Here is a 22,795-nt window from a genome sequence, read left to right on the forward strand (position 1 = left end):
ATGCCAGCAACAAACAATCTGAAAAAGAAATCAAGAAAGTAAGTCAATTTATAATAGCTACAAATAAAATAAAATATCTAAGAATAAACTTCACTGAAGACATGAATGATCTCTACAATAAAAACTATAAAACACTGATGCAAGAAATTGAAGAGGACACCAAAAAATGGAAAAATATTCCTGTTCTTTGACTGCAAGAATCGATATTGTTAAAATGGCCATACTACCCAAAGCAATCTACAGATTCAATGCATTCTCTATCAAAATACCAATGACATTCTTCACAGAAATAGCAAAAATAATTCTAAAATTTAAATGGAACCACAAAAGACCCAGAATAGCCAAAGTCATCCTGAGCATAAAGAACAAAACTGGAGAAATCACATTACCTGACTTCAGATTATACTGTAGAACTATAGGAACCAAAACAACATGGTACTGTTTGCCTCCTCAGAGGAAAGAATTTGAGGGGCATAAGGCAGAAGGAGAGACTGAGGCAAGTTTTAGAGCAAGAGTGAAAGTTTTATTAAGAAGTCTTATAACAAGGGCCAGGCCCAGTGGCTCACGCCTGTAATCCCAACACTTTAGGAGGCTCAGGCAGGTGGATCACCTGAGGTCAGGAATTTGAGACCAGCCTGGCCAACATGATGAAACCCCATCTCTACTAAAAATACAACAATTAAGGCCAGGTGTGGTGGCTCATGCCTGTAATCCCAACACTAAGAGGCCGAGGTGGGCAGATCACCTGAGGTCGGGAGTTCGAGACCAGCCTGACCAGCATGGAGAAACTCCGTCTCTACTAAAAATACAAAATTAGCCGGGCGTGGTGGTGCACGCCCGTAATCGCAGCTACTCAGAAAAGCTAAGGCAGGAGAATCGCTTGAACCCGGGAGGCAGAGGTTGCAGTGAGCTGAGATCGCGTCATTGCACTCCAGCCTGGGCAACGAGCAAAACTCCGTCTCAAAAAAAAAAAAAAAAAAATACAAAAATTAGCCAGACGTGGTGGAGGTCACTTGTAGTCCCAGCTACTCAGGAGGCTGAGGCAGGAGAATCGCTTGAACCCAGGAGGCAGAGGTTGCAGACAGCCAAGATCATGCCATTGCACTCCAGCCTGGGTGACAGAGTGAGACTCCATCTCCCAAAAAATAAATAAATAAATAAAAGTTTTATAACAGGAATAAAAGGAAGGAAAGTACACTTGGAAGAGGGCCAAGTAGGTGACTCAAGACGCAAGTGCGTGGCTTGACCTTTTGACTTGGGGTTTTATACACTGGCATACTTCTGGGGTTTTATGTTACTTCTCCCCAGTTGCCAAACTCCTGAGCTCTTATCAGGAAGCTGCTGATCACCAGTTTCAGGTGTTTTCTATTTATTAGGAGAGACTGCCTTTCCTTGGCACTGGCTGTGACCAGTTATTAGTTTAGAGAGACAGTTGACCACCTGACCATCACCTGATGGTTGCCTGACACTCCTGGTGTATTGTGGGGGGTGGGGGAAGGGGCGGAGCTCTCTTCTGCCCCACTCATACCCAACTAGCTACCCACTGTAACATTACTTGCATGAAAACAGGTACATAGACTCATGGAACAGAATAGAGAAATTAAAACAGTTGAACTCATGGAGATAAAGTAATGGTTACCAAAGGCTGGCAAGGGTAGTGGTGGTGGTAGGAAAGTGGGGATGGTTAATGGGTACACAAATATTGTTAGATTGAATGAATAAGATTTAGAATTTGGTAGCACAACAGGGCAACTACAGGCAACAATAATTTACTGTACATTTAAAGAAAACTAAAAGTTTCCTAGCCAGAGCATCAGACAAGAGAAAGGGCATCAGAGTCGGTAGAGAGGAAGTCAAACTGTCACTGTCAGTGATGTGATTGCATACCTAGAAAACCCTAGGTATGCAGTAAGACTCATCCTAAAAGCTCCTAGATCTGAAAAATGAACTCAGTAAAGTTTCAAGATAGAAAATCAATGTACGCAAATCAGTAGCACTGCTATAAACCAACAACAACTCAGCTGAGACTCAAATCAAGAACTCAATCACTTTTGCAACAGCTGCAAAAATAAAATACTTAGGAATATACCTAACCAAGGAGGTGAAAGATCTCTTCAAGGAAGACTACCAAACACTGCTGAAAGAAATCATCGATGACAGAAACAAATGGAAACATATCCCATGCTCATGGATGGGTAGAATTAATATTGTGAAAATGACCATACTGCCAAAAGCAATCTATAGATTTAGTGCAATTCCCATCAAAATACTATCATCATTCTTCACAGAACTAGAAAAAACAATCCTAAAATTCATATGGACCCAAAAAAGGCCGGCACAGCCAAAGCAAGACTAAGTGGAAAGAACAAATCTAGAGGCATCATATTAGCTGACTCAAACTATACTACAAGGCTATAGTTACCAAAACAGCATGGTACTGGTATAAAAAAAAGGCATGTAGACCAATGGAACAGAATACCCAGAAATAAAGCCAAATATTTACAGCCAACTGATCTTTGACAAAGCAAACAAAAACATAAAGTGGGGAAAGGATACTGCATTCAACAAATGGTGCTGAGATAATTGGCAAGCCACAGGTAGAAGAATGAAACTGGATCCTCATCTCTCACCTTATATAAAAATCAACTCAAGATGGATCAAAGACTTAAATCTAAGACCTGAGACCATAAAAATTCTAAAAGATAACATCGGAAAAACTCTTCTAGATATTGGCTTAGGCAAAGAGTTCATGACCAAGAACCCAAAAACAAATGCAACAAAAACAAAAATAGATGGGACCTAATTAAACTAAAAAACTTCTGCACAGCAGAAGAAATAATCAGCTTAGTAAACAGACAGTCCACAGAGTGGGAGAAAATATTTGCAAACTATGCATCCAACAAAGGTCTAATATCCAGAACTCAAATCAGCAAGAAAAAAAATCAAAAAGTGGGCTAAGGACATGAATAGACAATTCTCAAAAGAAGTTATACAGGCCAGGTACAGTGGCTCATGCCTGTAATCCCAGCACTTTGGGAGGGTGAGGTGGGTGGATCGCCTGAGGTCAGGAGTTCAAGACCAGCCTGGCCAACATGGTGAAACCCCATCTCTACTAAAAATACAAAACCTAGCTAGGTGTGGTTGTTGCGCACCTATTATCCCAGCTACTCGGGGGACTGAGGCAGGAGAATGGCTTGAACATGGGAGGCGGAGGTTGCAGTGAGCCGAGATCGCACCACTGCACTCCAGCCTGGGCAATAGAGTGAGACTCCATCTCAAAAATTAAAAATAATAAAATAATAAAAATTTTAAAATTAAAAAGATATACAAATGGCCAAGAAACATATGAAAAATGCTCAACATCACTAATTATCAGGGAAATGCAAATTAAGACCACAGTGAGATACCACCTTACTCCTACATAAATGGCCATAATTTAAAAATCAAAAGAACAATGGATATTTGTATGGATGTGGTGAAAAGGGAACACTTTTACACTGCTGGTGGGAATGTAAACTAGTACAACTACTATGGAAAACAGTATAGAGATTCTTTAACTAAAAGTAGATCTACCATTTGATCTAGCAATCCCACTACTGGGTAGTTCCCCAGAGGAAAATAAATCATTATATGTAAAAGACACTTGCACACGTATGTTTATTGCAGCACAATTCACAACTACAGAAATACAGGACCAGCCTAAATGCCCATCAACCAAGTGGATAAAGAAAATGTAGTATATACATACTATGGAATACTACTCAGCCATAAAAAGGAATGAAATAATTGCATTTGCAGCAACCTGGGTGGAATTGGAGAACATTATTCTATGTAAAGTAACTCAGGGATGGAAAAACCAAATATTGTATGTTCTCACTTATAAGTGGGAGCTAAGCTATGAGGACGCAAAGGCATAAGAGTGATATAGTGGACTTTGGGGACTTGGGAAAAGGGTAAGAGGGAGTGAGGGATAAAAGACTACACATTGGATACAATGTACACTGCTCAGGTGTTGGGTGCACCAAAATCTCAGAAACCACAACTAAAGAACTTATTCATGTAACCAAACACCACCTGCTCCCCAAAAACGATTGAAATAAAATTTTTAAAAAAGATAACTAAAAGTGTATAATTGTATTGTTTGTAACAAAAAGAAAGAATAAATGCTTGAGGTGATGGGTGCCCCATTTATTGTGTGTGGTTATTACTCATTGCATGCCTGTATCAAATTATCTCATGTACCTCATAACTATATACACCACTATGTATACACAAAACTAAAGATTAAAAAAATAAATTTTAAGACATAGAAAAAAGATGTAAAAAGAATCTTTACTTCCTGGGAACTGACTAGAGTTGCCAAATGCCTCAATTGGCCCAGGACTATCTGTTTTCCTAAGACAGAAGAAGTGCTAAAACTGGGAAAATCCTGGGCAAACTGGGATGAATTGGTCATCCTAGGATTTATCTTAAATGGAAGCACTTTTAGGAATTTTCAAACTTTGAAATTCCATATTTCTTTCATACCTAGAAATAAATTTAAGATAAAGGTAACAAAGCAGTTGGCTATATAATCAAATGTTAAATGTTTCTCATCTTAACAGGCATAACTGTAAAACATTTTTCATGCTAACATGTAAAAAATAACCAATAAATACATTATTTTAGTTTTACATTTTTGTGTTAATATAATACATTATATGTACATTATAATATATATCTATTATATAATAAATAATCTCACATCTCAAGTTTTTTTTTTTTTTTTTGAGATAGAGTCTCACTCTGTCACCAGGCTGGAGTGCAATGGCGCCATCTCGGCTCACTGCAATCTCCATCTCTCCCAGGTTCAAGCAATTCTCCTGCCTCAGCCTCCCAAGTAGCTGGGATTATAGGCACACGCAACCATACCCAGCTAATTTTTGTATTTTTAATAGAGACAGGGTTTCACCATGTTGGCCAGGATGGTCTCGATCTCTTGACCTGGTGATCTGCCCACCTCAGCCTCCAAAAGTGCTGGGATTACAGGCGTGAGCCACCACGCCAGGCCAAGAATCTTATTTTTTTAAATATATGTATTTAAATATATATAATATATAAGAATATATACATATTTAAATATTTAAGAATAAGTATATATATTACACTATATATTATTTATATATTTAACTATATAGTTTATAGATTATATTATCTAGTATATAATCATACATAGTTCTTATATATGATTATTAACTTTTAACATATAAAATATATATTTTAAAAGTTAAGAATCATATATATATAATTATATATATAAAGTTAAGAATCTTGAGATGTGAGATTACCCTGGATCATCCAGGCAGGGTCAATCTAATCATATGAGTCCTTAAAAGTGGAAGAGGGAGGTAGAAGAAGGAGTCAGGGAGATGAGACAAAAGAATAGACAAGAGACTCAGAGGAGAGACACTTGATCCACTGTTGCTGGCTTTGAAAATGGATGGAGGCCATGAGCCAAGGAATGCAATCGGCCACCAGAAACTCAGCTGTCAACCGTCAAGGAAACAGGGAACTGAATCCTACAACTACAAGGAACTGAATTCTGTCAACATCCAAATGAACAAGGAAACAGATCCTTCCCTAGAGCATCCAAAAAGGAATGCAGGCCTGTCAACACTTTGATTTTGGCCCAGTGAGACCCATGTCAGATTTTTGACCTACAGAACTGTAAGATTATAAATCTGTGTTAAGCCACTAAGTTTGTGGTGACTTATTATGACTGCAATGGAAAACTAACACAATATATACAATATATAAATTCAGTCTTTCATTTATAAGGTATAGGGGGAAAAGTAGGGGTGGAAAGGTAGAAGAGGAAAAAAATTAATTTTATGAAATATCAAAATTCTTAGAAAATCTTAAAAATGCTTTATGCACGTTTTAGAATCATGAAACGAAAAAACAGCATCACCATATTCTGTAGTTGGCCTGGGAAAAGACAAATAGGTTAGAAACCAGTGGCAGCAACAGAAGGGAGGTAGATGGCCAGAGTAAGAAGTTTGTTTACACAAGGCTACTGCTTTTATTGTATACCTTCAAAGATATTACTTTGCCCATTACCTATTCTTTCTGAAGCCAAAAACTGAGAAAGGTAGGGGAAGAGGATGGAAAAGGAAAATCCCCACCCTTAATACTCACTACGTTCATTATAGAAAGATGTTTCTTGTTAAGGCCCCCAAGGACAATCCTGGAATTATTTTAACAAGTCTTTGTGTACACAGACTATGTATAATCAAAATCTATGGAACTGCCTATAGGTTTTCTTCTTTTAAAAAAGTGCTGTTGGGCCGGGCGCTGTGGCTCACACCTGTAATCCCAGCACTTTGGGAGGCCGAGACTGGCGGATCACGAGGTCAGGAGATCGAGACCATCCTGGCTAACACGGTGAAACTCAGTCTCTACTAAAAATACAAAAAAAAAAAAAAAAAAAAAAAAAAAAAAAAAAACAATTAGCCGGGCGTGGTGGCAGGCGCCTGTAGTCCCAACTACTCGGGAGGCAGAGGCAGGAGAATGGCGTGAACCCGGGAGGCGGAGCTTGCAGTGAGCTGAGGTCGCGCCACTGCACTCCAGGCTGAGCGATAGAGCCAAACTCCATCTCCCCAAAAAAAAAAAAAAAAAATCAACTCTCAGCCTCAAGAGATTGTTTATGGCAATTCAGCGTAACCTTTGTTAGGTTACACATAACATGAAGTAAAAGTCAAAAGTTTAAGTATTTAAGCCTGAATGCTTAAATTTCTTTTTATATTCTTAAGTCAACATAAGCTCTGCTTTGGGAAAAGACCATTCGTTGTTTCTTAGAAAATCAACTCTCTATTTTAGAGGCCACATGACCATCCAATGTAAAGATTATATTTCTCATTTGCAGCTAAGCGTAGCCACATAATAACATTCTAGGTAGAAGCATGAAAGTCAAAATAATGTGTGCAACTTTGAAGAAAGGTTCTTTCCCTTCTGCTTGGCTGAAAACCAGGCATGAAAGCTTGATTACCAATTGCTGTCTTGGATCGTATAGTGATTTTTCATGGAAATCTTACAATCGTGAAACAATATAGAAGAAACCTGAATTTCTGACAACGCAAAACACCTACCTACCTACATACCTACCTACCAGCCCTACGCTGAGTTCCCACAAGGAACATCTATTAGCCCTATTCTCTGCAACTATTGACTATGAGGGAGAAATACATTTCTGTATTGTTTACCTCTCTTATTTTGGATTTCCTTGTTTCTTGCTGTTGAATCTATCCTATTTTTTTCTTTTTTTCACTTTTTTCTTCTAAAATGTATAAGAATGAGCTTAAAGAACCTATCTTAATATATGACATATTATCTTATTCTGGTTACTGTGAATTAGCGATAAATTAAATTTTGTCTCTTGTCTATATGGAACACCTAATGCTTTTTATTGGAGGAGTATTAGAAAACAATATTTAAAACCATATTTGTTTCTGGATTAAATAGTGATGACTGTACTATATACTAAAAATATACTAATATCATTGAATTGTACACTTTGTAATGTGTGAATTTTATGGCATGTGAATTATATCTTAATAAAGCTGTTATTTTAAAAATATGTAAAATGAATCATTCAGTGAAAGCATGATATTTAAATATTTTTTAATTAAGCTTTGAATTGAAACTACCATTTCAGTGGGGTATGAGAATCATGTATTAAACAAATTTGTGAAATATAAAACTTTAACATCAATTCAGACGCTTTAACTTGTGACTATTCTGATATCCCCCTTGACGTTTGCTTCTATCTTATTATTATTCATTTCCAGATTCAGATTTTGCATTACTTTGAAGAGCATTTTATCATCTTTTTTATCTCCTGAAGAAGCCCTTTTGTTGAGAGCTTCTTCTGCTACGATAAAAAACTGTTCCATTGGTTGAAGAATGCTTACTCCATAGCCTTTGTTGCTATAAATATGATTATTAGTCATCTTCAATTTGGGTGCTGGAAGAACCTATTAAATTATTTGAGGAAATTAGTTTTTCAATGATTTTATTTAAAAAATGAAGTAATGAACATATAAAAATTAGCTTAGACTTTATTCTTGGATTAACAGATTTTTTAAAACAACCAAGACTCTCAATTTTGAACAAGTGTTAAGTACTGTTTTCATGACACCAACTAACGTAATATTAACTACAAAAAATATTTAATAAGAATTTTTTTTTTTGAGATGGAGTCTTGCTTTGTTGCCCAGGCTGGAGTGCAATGACACAGTCTTGGCTCACTGCAACCTCCGCCTCCCGGTTCAAGTGATTCTCCTGCCTCAGCCACTCAAGTAGCTGGGACTACAAGGCGCGTGCCACCACACCTGGCTAATTTTTGTATTTTTAGTAGAGACGGGGTTTCAATATTTTGGCCAGGCTGGTCTCGAGCTCCTGACCTCGTGATCCACCCGCCTTGGCTTCCCAAAGCGCTGGAATTACACGCGTGAGCCACCATGCCCAGCCAATAACAAAATATTAAATGAGCCAGGTGCGGTGGCTCATGCCCTGTAATCCCAGCTCTTAAGAAGGCAGAGGCAGAAGGATAGCTTGAGCCCAGGAGTTCGAGACCTGCCTGGGCAATATAGCAAGACCCTATTCTCCACAAAAAGAAAAAGAAAAAAAAAGTGTAAGAAAATATTTAATGAAGTTTTCAATTTACTTTTATCAGTTATTGATAAAAACAACTAATTCTGTATGGCAATACAACCCATGAAGCTGATCTCTTATAACATAATAAACATGAAAATAAGTAATTTCAAATAATATGTGATTTGGAGAAAATAAGGTAATGTGATAGCATGACTGGGTGGGGAGAGGTTACCACTTGAGTGTTCTTTACATTAAAGGCTTCTTTGAAGAGGGACAACCACATTCAGATAGTAATAAGATCTATAGAAAGAGTGTTTCAGGTCAGGCGTGGTGGCTCACACCTGTAATCCCAGCACTTTGGGAGGCAGAGGCGGGCGGATCACCTGAGGTCAGTAGTTCGAGACCAGCCTGACCAACATGGAGAAACCCCGTCTCTACTAAAAATACAAAATTAGCTGGGCGTGGTGGCGCATGCCTGTAATCCCAGCTACCTAGAAGGCTGAGGCAGGAAAATCGCTTGAACCTGGGATGCAGACATTGCGGTGAGCTGAGATCGCGCCATTACACTCCAGCCTGGGCAACAAGAGCAAAACTCCATCTCAAAAAAGAAAAAAAAGAGTGCTTCAGGTGAAGGTAACAGCCAGAACAAGGTTAATAATTTCTGGGAACACAAACAAAGCCAGTGTGGCTCGAATATAATGTATAAGAGGAAGATTGGAAGGAGATTACGTTGGAGAAAGCAGGGGCCAGATCTTGTCAGATTTTATAAACCATGTTTATCAAATTTTAACGTATGTATATATCATCTGGGGAGCTTGTTAAAGACCACATTTTGTTTAATAGGTCTGGCGTGAGGCTCAAAATTCTCCACTTCTAACAAACTACCAGGTGATGCCAATGCTGCTGGTCCATGGCTCACACTTTGAGTATCAGGAATATGATTCTTAAAGTGTGAGTTAAACCAGCAGTATCAGCATCACCTAGGAAATTACTAAAACAAATTCTCAGGCTTTACCCTAGGCCTACTGAATCAGAAAGCAGAGTGGGCCTCTGCAAGAATGATTCTGATGCATGCTAACATTCAAGGACCACTGAAAAACTGAAAAATATTTAAGAACAGAAAAAATGTTTAAAGATAAATCAAAGATTTTAAAACTGCTATTTACCATTTGTACCTTCTTTTCTTTTTTCTTTCTTTTTTTTTCTTTTTTTTTTTTTTTTTGAGACAGAGTCTCAATCTGTCACCCAGGCTGGAGTGCAGTGGTGCACTGCAACGTCCACCTCTCGAGTTCAAGTGATTCTCCTGCCTCAGCCTACTGAATAGCTGGGACTACAGGCATATGCCACCACGGTTGGCTAATTTTTTTTGTATTTTTAGTAGAGATGGGGTTTCACCATGTTAGCCAGGATGGTCTCAATCTCTTGACCTCGTGATCTGCTCACCTCGGCCTCCCAAAGTGCTAGGATTACAGGTGTGAGCCACTGTGCCTGGCCTTGTACCTTATTTTCAACCAATTATCTGACTTAGTGTCCAGAATCATACAGAGAGTGGGAGGCTACTAGTAATATATAATACAATTCCTTCCCTTAGATAATTTGTAATCTATTTGAGGAGACAAAATGTACATTCATAAAACAAAGAGTTAGAATGTTCTAGAAAAAACTTCACTAACATAAAAGTTCATTAACTACACAAGCCTAGAGAGGGACTTAGAAAGACAAGATTTATAGAAGCAGAAAGGATGGAAGACATTTCACCTAGAAATTATTGCTATTAATGTTTTAATTGGTTAGCTTAAATCATTTAACACAACTTTGAAAGTAAGACTTCAAATGCTTCTTAATATATTATTATTCTTAATTTGCTTTACTTTGTAATTTGAAATACCAAAATGTATTACAGATCTGATCAAAGAAAACTCTAAAATGTCTTTAAGAGAAAAATCTATCCCATTTCTCATATTCAAGGTTATTTGCAAAGAGTTTAAGTACAAATTATTAAATTATAAGGCTAAACTTATTTCCCAGCAGCTATCATTTAACCATATTTTATTACTTGTACTATTCTTTTCCAAATCAATGATAATATGTAGACTGCCTTTTAAGACTAAAACTAATATTTTAGTACTTATAATTACTTACAATTCTTATAACAATGCTACATCAAGAAATAAGAGAATACCTTCATATTAACTCCACCTAAGGTGCTTTTTGAACTGTTACTGGTTCTGAGGTTATTACAGTGATGAATTTCATTTCTTTCCAAAATAGCTATGCTTCCAGGATACAGTTCAACACCAGCACCCTGTAAATTAAAAGCAAATAAAACTATCTACAAAATATATACACAAACCTCTCTCCAAAATCTTTAGACTTGAAAATCGTAATTCTGTATTACCACTATAAACATTGAGTTACGTGCAAATACGTGATCATGCATGCAACTGTTAATTGTAAAGATAATATTTAAAAATATTGAAAATTTAAATATCTGTTAGAGAGTCATTAGACTTAGAAGGTTGAGGTCATATAATCCATTATCTTACTCTTCCACCCAAATGATTCTCTAGAAAGGAGTCCACTCTTTAAGCAATTGTTTCAATAGTTATAAAAATTTATATCTACTGTAAATCCCACTTAATGCCACTAAAGTATATTTCTTCATTTTAGTGGAAATTTTAAAAATTCTTTAAAAAGATGCTCTTATTTTTCTACTTCCTTTAATTCTTTTTCTCATTCAGTTCTCCAGTCCTTCAATGATCTTTGTGATTGTTATCTAAAGACTCAAGCTCTTAATTTTTAATTATTTATTTATTTATTGTTAAAGACAAGGTCTTTCTGTGTTGCCCAGGCTGGTCTCAAACTTCAGCTCAAGTGATCCTCCCGTCTCAGCTCCTAAAGTGCTGGGATTACAGGAGTGAACCACTGTGCTTGGCCTCAAGTTTTTTATGTCCTGATTATTCAGAAGCTGTTAGAACTAATCACAACACCTAACAGCAACATCTGATAACTTACATGTCTTATTTCTTTAAACTATCAAATGACTGACTCATGATTTATGTTATAGCCACTCTTTTCCAGATTTTAAAAAGTCACCCTTATAAAACAAAGCTAAATATTCTTTACTTTGGACCTAGCATTTCATTTTTCCTAAATGTACTATGACACTCCAGTACTCATTTTGTTGATGTCTACCAGTTACTAAGTTTAATTAGAATTCCACTAAAAGATGAAGAAATTGCTACCCTTTATTTGTATATTAAGATCACTCAAAGCTGTCATCTATAGTCATATAAGGCCATACTTTTTAAAGAATGAAATACCTGGGCGCCAGTTATTTCACTGTCTGTAATTGTCAAAGCAGCCCCTGTAAGAACACACACTCCTGTTCCTTCACATTTTAATATGCAGTTTTCTAGAGTCATGTGACCAGACTCCACCACCACGATACCATCAACCGTCCCTTGTTGTATCAAAGATAGATGCATTAGTTTCACATTGTCAGCTTTGGACACCACAAAACTGTCACGAGAAGGTTCAGAAGTAATCATAATTTCCTCTCTCTTTCCAACTCCTGATTCATAGGGATAAAAATACATTAAATCAGTAATCTCCCATTTTAAGGCCCTTTATTGTCATTCAACAATACTGCTGTTACTAAAGTTTTTCCCTGTGTGCGTGTGTGTGTGTGTGTGTGTGTGTGTGTGTGTGTGTGTGTGTGCGCATGCGCATTTTTAGAGATGGTTCTCGCTATGTTGCCCAGGCTAGTCTCGAACTCCTGGGCTCAAGTGATCCTCCTGCCTCACCTCCTGAGTAAGTTGGGACTACAGGTGCATAGCACAGTGCCCAGCTTCACATATTTTTAACAAATAATATATAGTACATACATAACTATAGTGTAATCTTTTTCTTTTTTTTTGAGACAGTCTTGCTCTTTCACCCAGGCTGGAGTGCAGTGGCTTGATTATGGCTCACTGCAACCTGGGCTCAAGTGATTGTCCCACCTCAGCCTCCCAAGTAACTGGGACTACAGGTGTGTGCCACCACATCCAGCTAACTTTTGAATTTTTTGTAGAGATGGGGTTTCACTATGTTGCCCAGACTGCTCTCAAACTCCAGGACTCTAGCAATCCACCTGCCTCAGCCTTCCAAAGTGCTGGGATTACAGGCGTGAGGCACCATATCCAGCTTTTGTTGTTGTTGTTGTTGTTGGTTAGACAATGAGAATACTCTTACTTCAACGTCAAAAAGAGAGAAAGTTTCTAAATATGTTCAGGACCTAAAATAAATTTAGTAAATTCTGCTTTTCTACTTCTGTTTTGGTGAGTTAGCATGTGATATTAGCCTTTTTGAGAAAATGATGAGCATATTTTAACATAGCTTTACATCTGGGTTTTCCTTAGTAAAGTGATGTGAAAAGCAGTAAAGATAGATAAGAAAAAAGTGCTTTGGGTAAAAAATATAAATGGAGCTATAGAAAATATGACGAACATGTCTTAATTATAAAATGAACATAAAGGATTTTTGTAAAACATAAATTCTATTGTAATTTCCAATAATTCCATTAAGCATGTTTAGAATACACAATTTGTCCAGTATACATTGCTGTAAAAAAAACTACAAAGGATGCCCTGCTAACCCTTTATAATGATGTCATCTGTCAACAAAGCAAGATTTGCAGCTTGATATTCTCCTGGAAAAATTATTACTGTATCTCCACTATAACAATTATCCAAAGCCAAATCCAAATCACCATGCTGTTGGAGAAGTGTGTCTGAAGATAAATCCTTTATCTAAAAAGAAATAAAACACTTGCGCTTTCAATAATAGGTTAAACTGAAACATGTCATTTTAATCAGTTACTTACTGGACAAGTACTTTTCCCAAAAGACTTATCATTTATTAAAGACTAGCATTTATTAAATGCTCAAAGTATCAGTTCATCGATTAATATTGAAATAAAATGTTTCTTTACAATCGTTCATCATTTTATAACTATTAAATACTGGGTATTAGCTATGTGCCATATTTTGAACTTTACATATTACCTCCTTAAGCCTTGCAACAGTTCCTTGACGTATTATTATTATTATTTTGAGACGGAGTTTCGCTCTGTCGCCCAGGCTGGAGGGCAATGCTGCGATCTCGGCTCACTGCAACCCCTGCCTCCCGGATTCAAGCGATTCTCTTGCCTCAGCCTCCTGAGTAGCTGGGATTACAGGTGCACACCACCACGTCTGGCTAATTTTTTGTATTTTTAGTAGAGACGGGGTTTCTCCATGTTGGCCAGGCTGCTCTTAAACTCCTGACCTCAGGCAATCCGCCCACCTCGACCTCCCAAACTGCTGGGATTACAGGCATAAGCCACCGTGCCCGGCAACGTAAGTATTATTACCCCCGCTATAAGGTTAAGGAAATTGAACCTTGGCAAGATTAAATGAATTGTCAAAATTAGTAGTGAAGCCAAGCTTTAGATGCAGTTCAATATGACACCAGATCTCATGCTCTTCCCTATGTATCATTTTGTTTTCTTTAACTCAAAATGACCCTCCAGTTTTAGTAAATGAACAAAATTCTTTTTTTTTTTTTTCCGAGATCGAATTTCACTCTTGTCACCCAGGTTGGTGTGCAATGGCACGATCTCAGCTCACTGCAACCTCTGCCTCCCAGGTTCAACCAATTCTCCCACCTCAGCCTCCCGAGTAGTTGGGATTACAGGCGTCTGCCACCACACCCAACTAACTTTTGTATTTTTAGTAGAGACAGGGTTTCGCCATGTTAGCCAGGTTGGTCTCGAACTCCTGACCTCAGGTGGTCCACCTGCCTCGGCCTCCCAAAGTGCATGAGCCACCGTGCCCGGCCCCCAGATAAACAAAATTATACTTATCAAAGATTCTAAAATATGCATTGGGAGTAGAAAAGAGGAGATAAATTTGTTATTAGTGTCGTAAAGACTGGAGGGCTTTATTTATTTATTTTGAGACAGGGTCTCATTCTCTCGCCCAGGCTGGAGTGCAGTGGCACGATCATGGCTCACTGCAGCCTAAACCTCCCAGGCTCAAGTGATCCTCCCACCTCAGCCTCCTGAGTAGCTGGGACTAGAGGCACACATTGCCATGCCTGGGTAATTTTTGTATTTTTTGTAGAGGTGGGGTTTCTCTATATTGCCCAGGCTGGTCTCAAACTCCTCAGCTCAAGTGATCACCCACCTCAGCCTCCCAGAGTGCTGGGATTACAGGTAGAAGCCATCATGCCCAGCAGTGTGAAGGACTTTTAATATAAAATATAAATCCTGGCCGGGCACAGTGACTCACACCTGTAATCCCAGCATTTTGGGAGGCCAAGGTGGGTGGATCACTTGAGGTCAGGAGTTCGAGACCAGCCTGACCAACATGGTGAAACCCCGTCTCTACTAAAAATATAAAAATTAGCCAGGCATGGTGGTACATGCCTGTAATCCCAGCTACTAGGGAGGTGGAGGCAGGAGAATCGCTTGAACCCGGGAGGCAGAGTTTGCAGTAAGCGGAGATGGTGCCATTGCACTCCAGCCTGGGCAACAAGAGCGAAACTGTCTCAAAAAAAAAAAAAAAGTAAATAAATAAATAATAAATCCAAATATAAAATTTGGAAATATATTCTGAAAAAATGCCTATCGTTCTTTGATCCCAATGAGAATGGCATTATCATGCATATATCTTTCTTATTCTTATTATTATTATTATTATTGTTATTATTATTACTATTTTGAGATGGAGTCTTGCTCTGTCGCCCAGGCTGGAGTGCAGTGGCACAGTCTTGGCTCACTGCAACCTCCCGGGTTCAAGTGATTCTCCTGCCTCAGCCTCCCGAGTAGCTGGGACTATAGGTGTGTGCCACTGCACCCGGCTAATTTTTGTATTTTTAGTGGAGACGGGGTTTCACCATGTTGGCCAGGCTGGTCTCGAACTCCTGACCTCAAGTGATCCACCCGCCTTGGTCTCCCAAAGTGCTGGGATTACAGGCGTGAGCCACTGCACCCAGCCTTTTTTTATTATAAAAGTGATACTTGTTATAAAAACATGGAAAAGAAAGCATAACAAAAATTGAAAAATTAACTTGTAAATTCTTAACTAAAGAAAACCTTCATTTATATAGATATTTCCTTCTAGTATATTTCCCATGCATATATTCATTTATTCATATGCCAATCAATCATACCATATATTGTATATACTTTTGAATTCTGATTTTGTCATTATATCACCTTCCCCATGTCTTTAAATAATTTTTCAAAGCCTATTTTTTTAATGATTAAAGTTTCAACTTATTTTAGATATGGGGGTGCATGTGCAGGGTTTACTATGTTCGTTTATTGCATCCAGGTATTGAGCATAGTACCCGATAGGTAGTTTTTCAACAGACATCCCCTCCCTTCTTCCTCCTGCACCAGTAGTTAGCAGTGTCTATTGTTCTCATGTTTGTGTCCATGTGTGCTTAGTGTTTAGCTCCTGCTTGTAAGTGAGAACATGCAGTATTTGGTTTTCTGTTCCTGCATTAATTCACTTAGGATAATGGCCTTCAGGTGCATCCACGCCACTGCAAAGGACATGATTTCATTCTTTTTATGGCTGCATAGTATTCCATGGTGTACATGTACCACATTTACATTATTCAATCCACCATCAATGGGCACCTCGGTTGATTCCCTGTCTTTGCTATTATGAATAGCACATCAAAGCCTAACTTTTAACAATTACATACTAATGTATCAAACAGATATATTACAACTCATGTTATGAATTTCTCACTCTTATTTGGATGGTTTATGAGTTTTCAACATTATGAAAATACTATAACAGATCCTTATGTATATCTCTAGTTATTTCTTTAGGAAACATTACTAGACAGGAAATTGCTGAATCAAAAGGTATAAACATTTTAAGACTCTTGGATATACTTTGCCAAATTCCTCTCCAGAAAAGCTTAATCAATTAAAACTTGGGTTAAGAATGCTCGTTTTGTCATAAACAAAACAACATGGGATTTTTAAAAAATTTGTACAATATTTGCCATTTTAACGGACAAAAGTCCTCCTCACCTCATTTTCATTTCCATTTATTTGATAAGTGAGAGTGAACACTTTTTCCAGATATATGTAAAATTCCTATAAACCTTACTAAATCAGCAACCTACAAACTCATTTGTGCAGGTATTACATACATTGGAAGCAGATAGCACAAGACTACCTCTGTAAATAAATAATTTGTAAGAACTCTGAAACCCTCCTCATTTATATTTTTTTTATTCACTGAAATAAGAAACACAGGAGAGAGAAAAAAGTGTGATAGAGGAAGACGATGAGTTTAATTTTGGTGCCAATAAATTTGAAGTGCCAGTGGAGTCACTAGATAGAGGTATCCAGCAGACTATGGATATAAGGGTCTAGAATATAGGACCTGACTAGACATAAGGTCATAGAATTATTTACTTATATGATAATTTGAGCACAGGAATGGATGAAATTAGCTACAAGAATGCGTAAAGAGGGAAAGATAGCAACCTAGAACAGAACACTGAGGAATATTTAACAAACTGGCGGAAACACAAGATCTCACAAAGAATATTGAAAAGTAGGCAAAGAGGTGGTAGAAAAAAATCAGGAGACTAGGATGTCATGGAAGGAGGAAGTACAGTTGACCCTTGAACAACATGGGTTTGAACTGCATAGACCAACTTATACACAGATTTTTTTCAACCAAACACACATCAAAATACAGTATTTGCAGGATGAAAATCTGAGTATATGGAGAGCAGACTTTGAATTTTGTATATATGGGTTCTGCAGGGCTGACAGCAGGACTTGAGTACACACGGATTTGGATACATGCCAAGTGTCTGTGGACTAATCTCTGTCTATACTGAGGGACAAATGTAGTTGGTAGTGTCAAATGCTGCTCAAAGATTAACAAGATGGTAATCTCTGAGTTGTACCTACTGCAATTGGCCAGAGGGAGATTCTACGTGACCACAACAGCATTTTCAGTGATATTCTGCAGACAGAAGCCGGATCACAGTGAGTAGAGGAATAAATACGAAGAAGTGGAAATAAATGCAGATAAATATTTCAAGTAGTTTTTCTCTGCAAGGTAAGAAACAGAGATGTGGTGTTTAAGGTAGATATTGTTTTGCTATTTAAAATAGAACAGAATTGAACATATCTCACTGCATTCAGGAAGGAGAGAGTAGAGAGGAGAGGTTAAAGACACAAGGAAGAGATGACAGCACAGAAATGGTGAAGTAATGGCTCTTCCACTGAAGCAAACATTAAGTTGGCAAAAACTATGGAATCAACTTTTGGGAGCTCTAGAACCTAAATCAAACACAGCAACAAAGGAAATGCTTAATGAAGTGGCTGCTAAAATTCAGTAAACAAGTGTGGCATTTTTTTGCTTACCCACCTACCATCCCCCAATCCCCTGCTCTGCAGCAGCAATGGAAATGGCAGCCCACATTCCTGGTGTAGCTTGCTGGTGCCAGCAGGCCACCAGGTGGTAGGGTGCAATATAGGCTTTGTTCTCAAAATACTATGGTTGTAAATTCTGACCTATCTGGTAGTTCTCTGACAGACTGGCAAAGAAAGATGATATTTTTTTTCACCCCTCAGGTTGGAGTGGCTTTCCCTTTGCCCCATAGATGCCTAGCGCAAAGAACACAGAAAGAGACAAGCAAGATTCCTCAGACGAGGGGCTGAAGAGAAAGATTTTTGGAGGAATAAGGGCTTGAAAGGAATCAGGGCTTCCCATATACCAGGAAATCAGTAGTGAAATGCACATGCACTGCAGGGCTAGACGTATGCTCAGAAGATACCCAAGAAGAACCTAGGCTTGCACCTTTGGCTGCTCTTTGGGCCTTGTGCAAACAGGAAGCAAAAGCTAATACAAAGTTTTAGGCAGCCTGGCTTAGCTCTGAAGGAGTGCCTCAGCTCAGAGACAATCTGCAAACACTGGGAGAGTTTTTGTTTTTGTTTTTTTCTAGTTATTTATCTATTTTTTTGTTGTTGTGGTTTTTTTTTGAGATGGATCCAGGCTCTGTCACCCAGGCTGGAGTGCAGTGGGACAATCTTGGCTCACTGCAGCCTCTTCCTCCCGGGTTCAAGCGATTCTCCTGCCTCAGCCTCCCAACTAGCTGGGATTACAGGTGTGCACCACTATGCCCAGCTAATTTCTGTATTTTTAGTAGAGGTGGGGTTTCACCATGTTGGCCAGGCTGGTCTCAAACTCTTGGCCTCAAGTGATCTGCCTGCCTCAGCCTCCCGAAGTGCTGGGATTACAGGTGTAAGCCACTGCACCTGGCCTTGTTTTTTCTTTTTAGCTGAGCCATTTAAGGAAATCTCTGTTAGATCACTCACTATCTACTGAGATAACACAACAAAGACTTCAAGTGCCACAAAGAAAAGGAATACAGCCTTTGCAAATTAGTTTAGAAAAGTCATTAAACAAACATACAGCTGCAGTCATAAACAACCGAAACAAACCCTGGGGAGGAGTAGAATCCAATTTCCAGAGTTACCATATTATAATATCTAAAATGTCCAGCTTTCAACAAAAAAATTGCAAGACATACAAAAAAAATAAGATACCATGACCCATTCACAGGAAAAATAAATTGACAGAAACTATCCCTGAGGAAGCCCAGATAAGACTTTGGACTTACTAGACAAAGACTTTAACTCTACTGTTTTAAGTGTGCACAAAGAGCTAAAGGAAACAATAAAGAACTAGAAGCAACCAGGAGAACAATGTCTGAACAAATAAAGAATATCAATAAAAATATAAACAAAATAGAAATTCTGTAGTTGAAAAGTGTGATAGCTGAAGTGAAAAATTCACTAGAGGGGTTCAACAGCAGATTTGAGCAAGCAGAAAAAATAATCAGCAATCTTGATGAAAGCACAATAGAAATTATCCAGCCTGAGATCAGAAAGAAAAGAACTATAGAAAAAAATGAACAGCATCAAAGGGACCAGTGGGATATTATGAAGCATATAAATATACTTATTAGGAAGTGTCAGAAGAAGAGGAAAGAGAGAAAAGGGTGTGCTGTTACTTTGTATGTATATATGGGTTTTCATTCACACCTCCTGACTCATAACTTCCACAGTCCTTATTACAGCTTTTTGTTATAATGTTGGGTGCTTTAGGCCTCATGAAACAGAATCTCTCTAACCTTCTCTTGCTCTCCTTTCACCTGCCCCAGGGCAGGACTCTAATATTCCTGTGCTTTTCTGATTGTGGGTCATAAGACCCTCATTCCAAACCAGATTCCGCCAGGCACGGTGGCTCACGCCTGTACTCCCAGCTCTTAGGGAGGCAGAGGTGGGAGCATAGCTTGAGCCCAGGAGTTTGAGACCTGCCTGGGCAATATAGCAAGACCCTGTTATCCACAAAAAAGAAAAAAAGAGACAAAACATAAATAAATAAACTGGGTTCCACCCCATAATTTGAGGCCAATCATGTTTTAACACAGTTGTCCAAAGAAACCCAAGAGGACTAGGTTCAGAGAGCCTTCAGAAAGCTGACCTCATAACATTTCCTGGAGGATGATATACCTGGAGGAGGGCATGGGAGCTCTGTGTACTTTCCCTGATACCTTCCCCTACACACCTTTTCATCTGTATCCTTTGTAATATCAATTTTTTTTTTTTTGAGACACAGTCTCACTCTGTCACCCAGGCTGCAGTGCAGTGGCGCAATCTCGGTTCATTGCAACCTCTGCCTCCTGGGTTCAAGTGATTCTCCTGCCTCAGCCTCCCAAGTAGCTGAGATTACAGGTGTGCACCACCACACCCAGCAAATTTTTGTATTTTTAGTAGAGACGGGTTTTTGCCATGTTGGCCAGGCTGGTCTCAAACTCCTGACCTCAAGTGATCCACCTGCCTCGGCCTCCCAAAGTGCTGGGATTACAGGCATGAGCCACTGTGCTTGACTGTAATATCCTTTATAATAAACTGGTAAACATAGGCCAGGCACTGTGGCTCACGCCTGTAATCCTAGCACTTTGGGAGGCTGAGGTGGGTGGATCACAAGGTCAGGAGTTCAAGACCAGACTGACCAATATGGTGAAACCCCTTCTCTACTAAAAATACAAAAATTAGCTGGGTGTGGTGGTGTGCGCCTGTAATCCCAGCTACTCAGGAGGCTGAGGCAGGAGAATCGCTTGAACCCAGGAGGTGGAGGTTACAGTGAGCCGAGATCACACCACTGCACTCCAGCCTGGGTGACATAGCAAGACTCCATCTCAAAAAATTAATTAATTAATTAAATTAACTGGTAAACATAAATGTTTCTCTGAGTCCTGTGAGCTGCTCTAGTAAACTAATTAAACCCAAAAAAGGAGTTGTGAGAACCCCAACTTGAAGTCAGTCAGTCAGAAGTTCTGGAGGCCTAGACTTGTGACTGGTGTCTGAGGGAGAGGAGCAGTTTTGGAGGCTGAGTCTCCAACCTGTAGAATGTGACACTATCTACTGTATGCTGAAATAGAATTGTAGGACACCCAGTTGGGGTCTGCTGGAGAACTGATTGATTACTTGCTGGCAGGGAGAAAGCCCCACATATTTTGGGGTCACAGAAGTTTTCTGTATTGATAATTCTTGTTTTGTTGTGAAAACAGAGGGAAAATATGGTTTGAGTGTTTTCCTAACAAAGGCAGAAAAAATACTTGAAAACGTAATGGCCGAAAACATCCCAAATTTCATTAAAGACATGAATCTACATATCCAAGAAGTGTAATGGACTTTAAGTAAGATAAACACAAAGAAACACACATTAACAAATATTATAATCAAACAATTAAAATCCAAAGATAGGCGGGGCACAGTGGCTCACACCTGTAATACCAGCACTTTGTGAGGCCAAGGCAGCTGATCACCTGAGGTCAGGAGTTCCAGACCAGCTTGGCCAACATGGCGAAACCCCATCTCTACTAAAAATACAAAAATTAACCAGATGTGGTGCCACATGCCTGTGATACCAGCTACTGGGGAGGCTGAGGTAGGAGAATTGCTTGAACCTGGGAGGCAGAGGTTGCAGTGAGCCAAGATCATGCCATTGCACTCCAGCCTGGGCAACAAGAGCAAAACTCCATCTCAAAAAATAATAATGATAAAAAACAATCCAAAGATAAATAGAGAATCTTACAAGCAGCATGAGAGAAGCAATGCATTAAGTATAAGAGATCTTTAATAAGATTAAGGCTGCTTTCTCATCAGAAACCATGGAAGCCAGAAAGCAGTGGGATTTAAAAGTGCTGAAAGATAAACAACCAAAAATTCTATATCTAGAAAAAATACCTTTTCAAAATGAAGAAGAAATTGACATTTCTAGATAAAAAAAGTTAGGCCTATCCTAAAAGAAATGCTAAAGGAGTCCTTCAGACTGAAATGAAATAGACAACAGAAGTAACTCAAAGCCATATAAAGAAATAAAAAAATTCCAGTAAAGGTAAAATCAAGGGTAAATATAAAGGCAGTATTACTGTATTTTTGGTTTGTGACTCCTTTTTTTGTTTCCTATATAATTTAAGATACCGATGCCTAAAACAATCCTTGTAAATCCATGCTAATGGGGAAACAATGTATAAAGATGTAATTTGTAACAATAACAACATAAAGGGACGATGGAGCTGTATGCTATTAAAGCAAAGTTGGTATCAATTCAAACTCAATCGTTATAAATGTAGGATGTGAATTACAATTCCCTTGATAATCACCAAGAATATAACTAAAAAATACATACAAAAGGAAATGTGGAGTAAATCAAAATGGTACACTAAAAAAAAAATCATAAAACACAAAAGAAGATGGTACTGAAAGCACTGCGTAACAAAAAAAAGATATTACTTGTAGGAAAAACAGTAGCCAATGACAGAAGTAAGTCCTTCCTTATCAGTAAACATTTTAAATGTAAATGGATTAAGATCACCAATTAAAAAAGACAGGTAGAAAGGATAAAGAAAAATAATCCAACTATATGATGTTACAAGAATCTCATTTCAGGCCGGGTGTGGTGGCTCATGCCTGTAATCCCAACCCTTTGGGAGGGCGAGGTGGGCGGATCATGAGGTCAGGAATTTGAGACCAGCCTGGCCAACATGGTGAAACCCCATCTTTACTAAAAATACAAAA

At 38.4% G+C, this 22,795-nt stretch overlaps 1 protein-coding gene across 2 annotated transcripts in view; it reads right to left on the bottom strand.

Annotated features, from left to right (window-relative positions):
* SHCBP1L (SHC binding and spindle associated 1 like) overlaps nucleotides 7,643-22,795 on the bottom strand; it is a 53,302-nt gene continuing 38,149 nt past the window's right edge. For both annotated transcript variants that reach the window (NM_030933.4, NM_001345928.2), the window contains 4 exons: nucleotides 13,274-13,427; nucleotides 11,958-12,208; nucleotides 10,817-10,939; nucleotides 7,643-8,012 (listed from right to left, as the gene is read on the bottom strand). In NM_030933.4, coding sequence (NP_112195.2) covers nucleotides 7,761-8,012; nucleotides 10,817-10,939; nucleotides 11,958-12,208; nucleotides 13,274-13,427 — 780 coding nt within the window. In that variant the 3' untranslated portion in view covers nucleotides 7,643-7,760. The remainder of the gene's footprint in view (nucleotides 8,013-10,816; nucleotides 10,940-11,957; nucleotides 12,209-13,273; nucleotides 13,428-22,795) is intronic.

This window comes from Homo sapiens, chromosome 1 (genome assembly GCF_000001405.40).
Source record: "Homo sapiens chromosome 1, GRCh38.p14 Primary Assembly".
Taxonomy (NCBI): domain Eukaryota; kingdom Metazoa; phylum Chordata; class Mammalia; order Primates; family Hominidae; genus Homo; species Homo sapiens.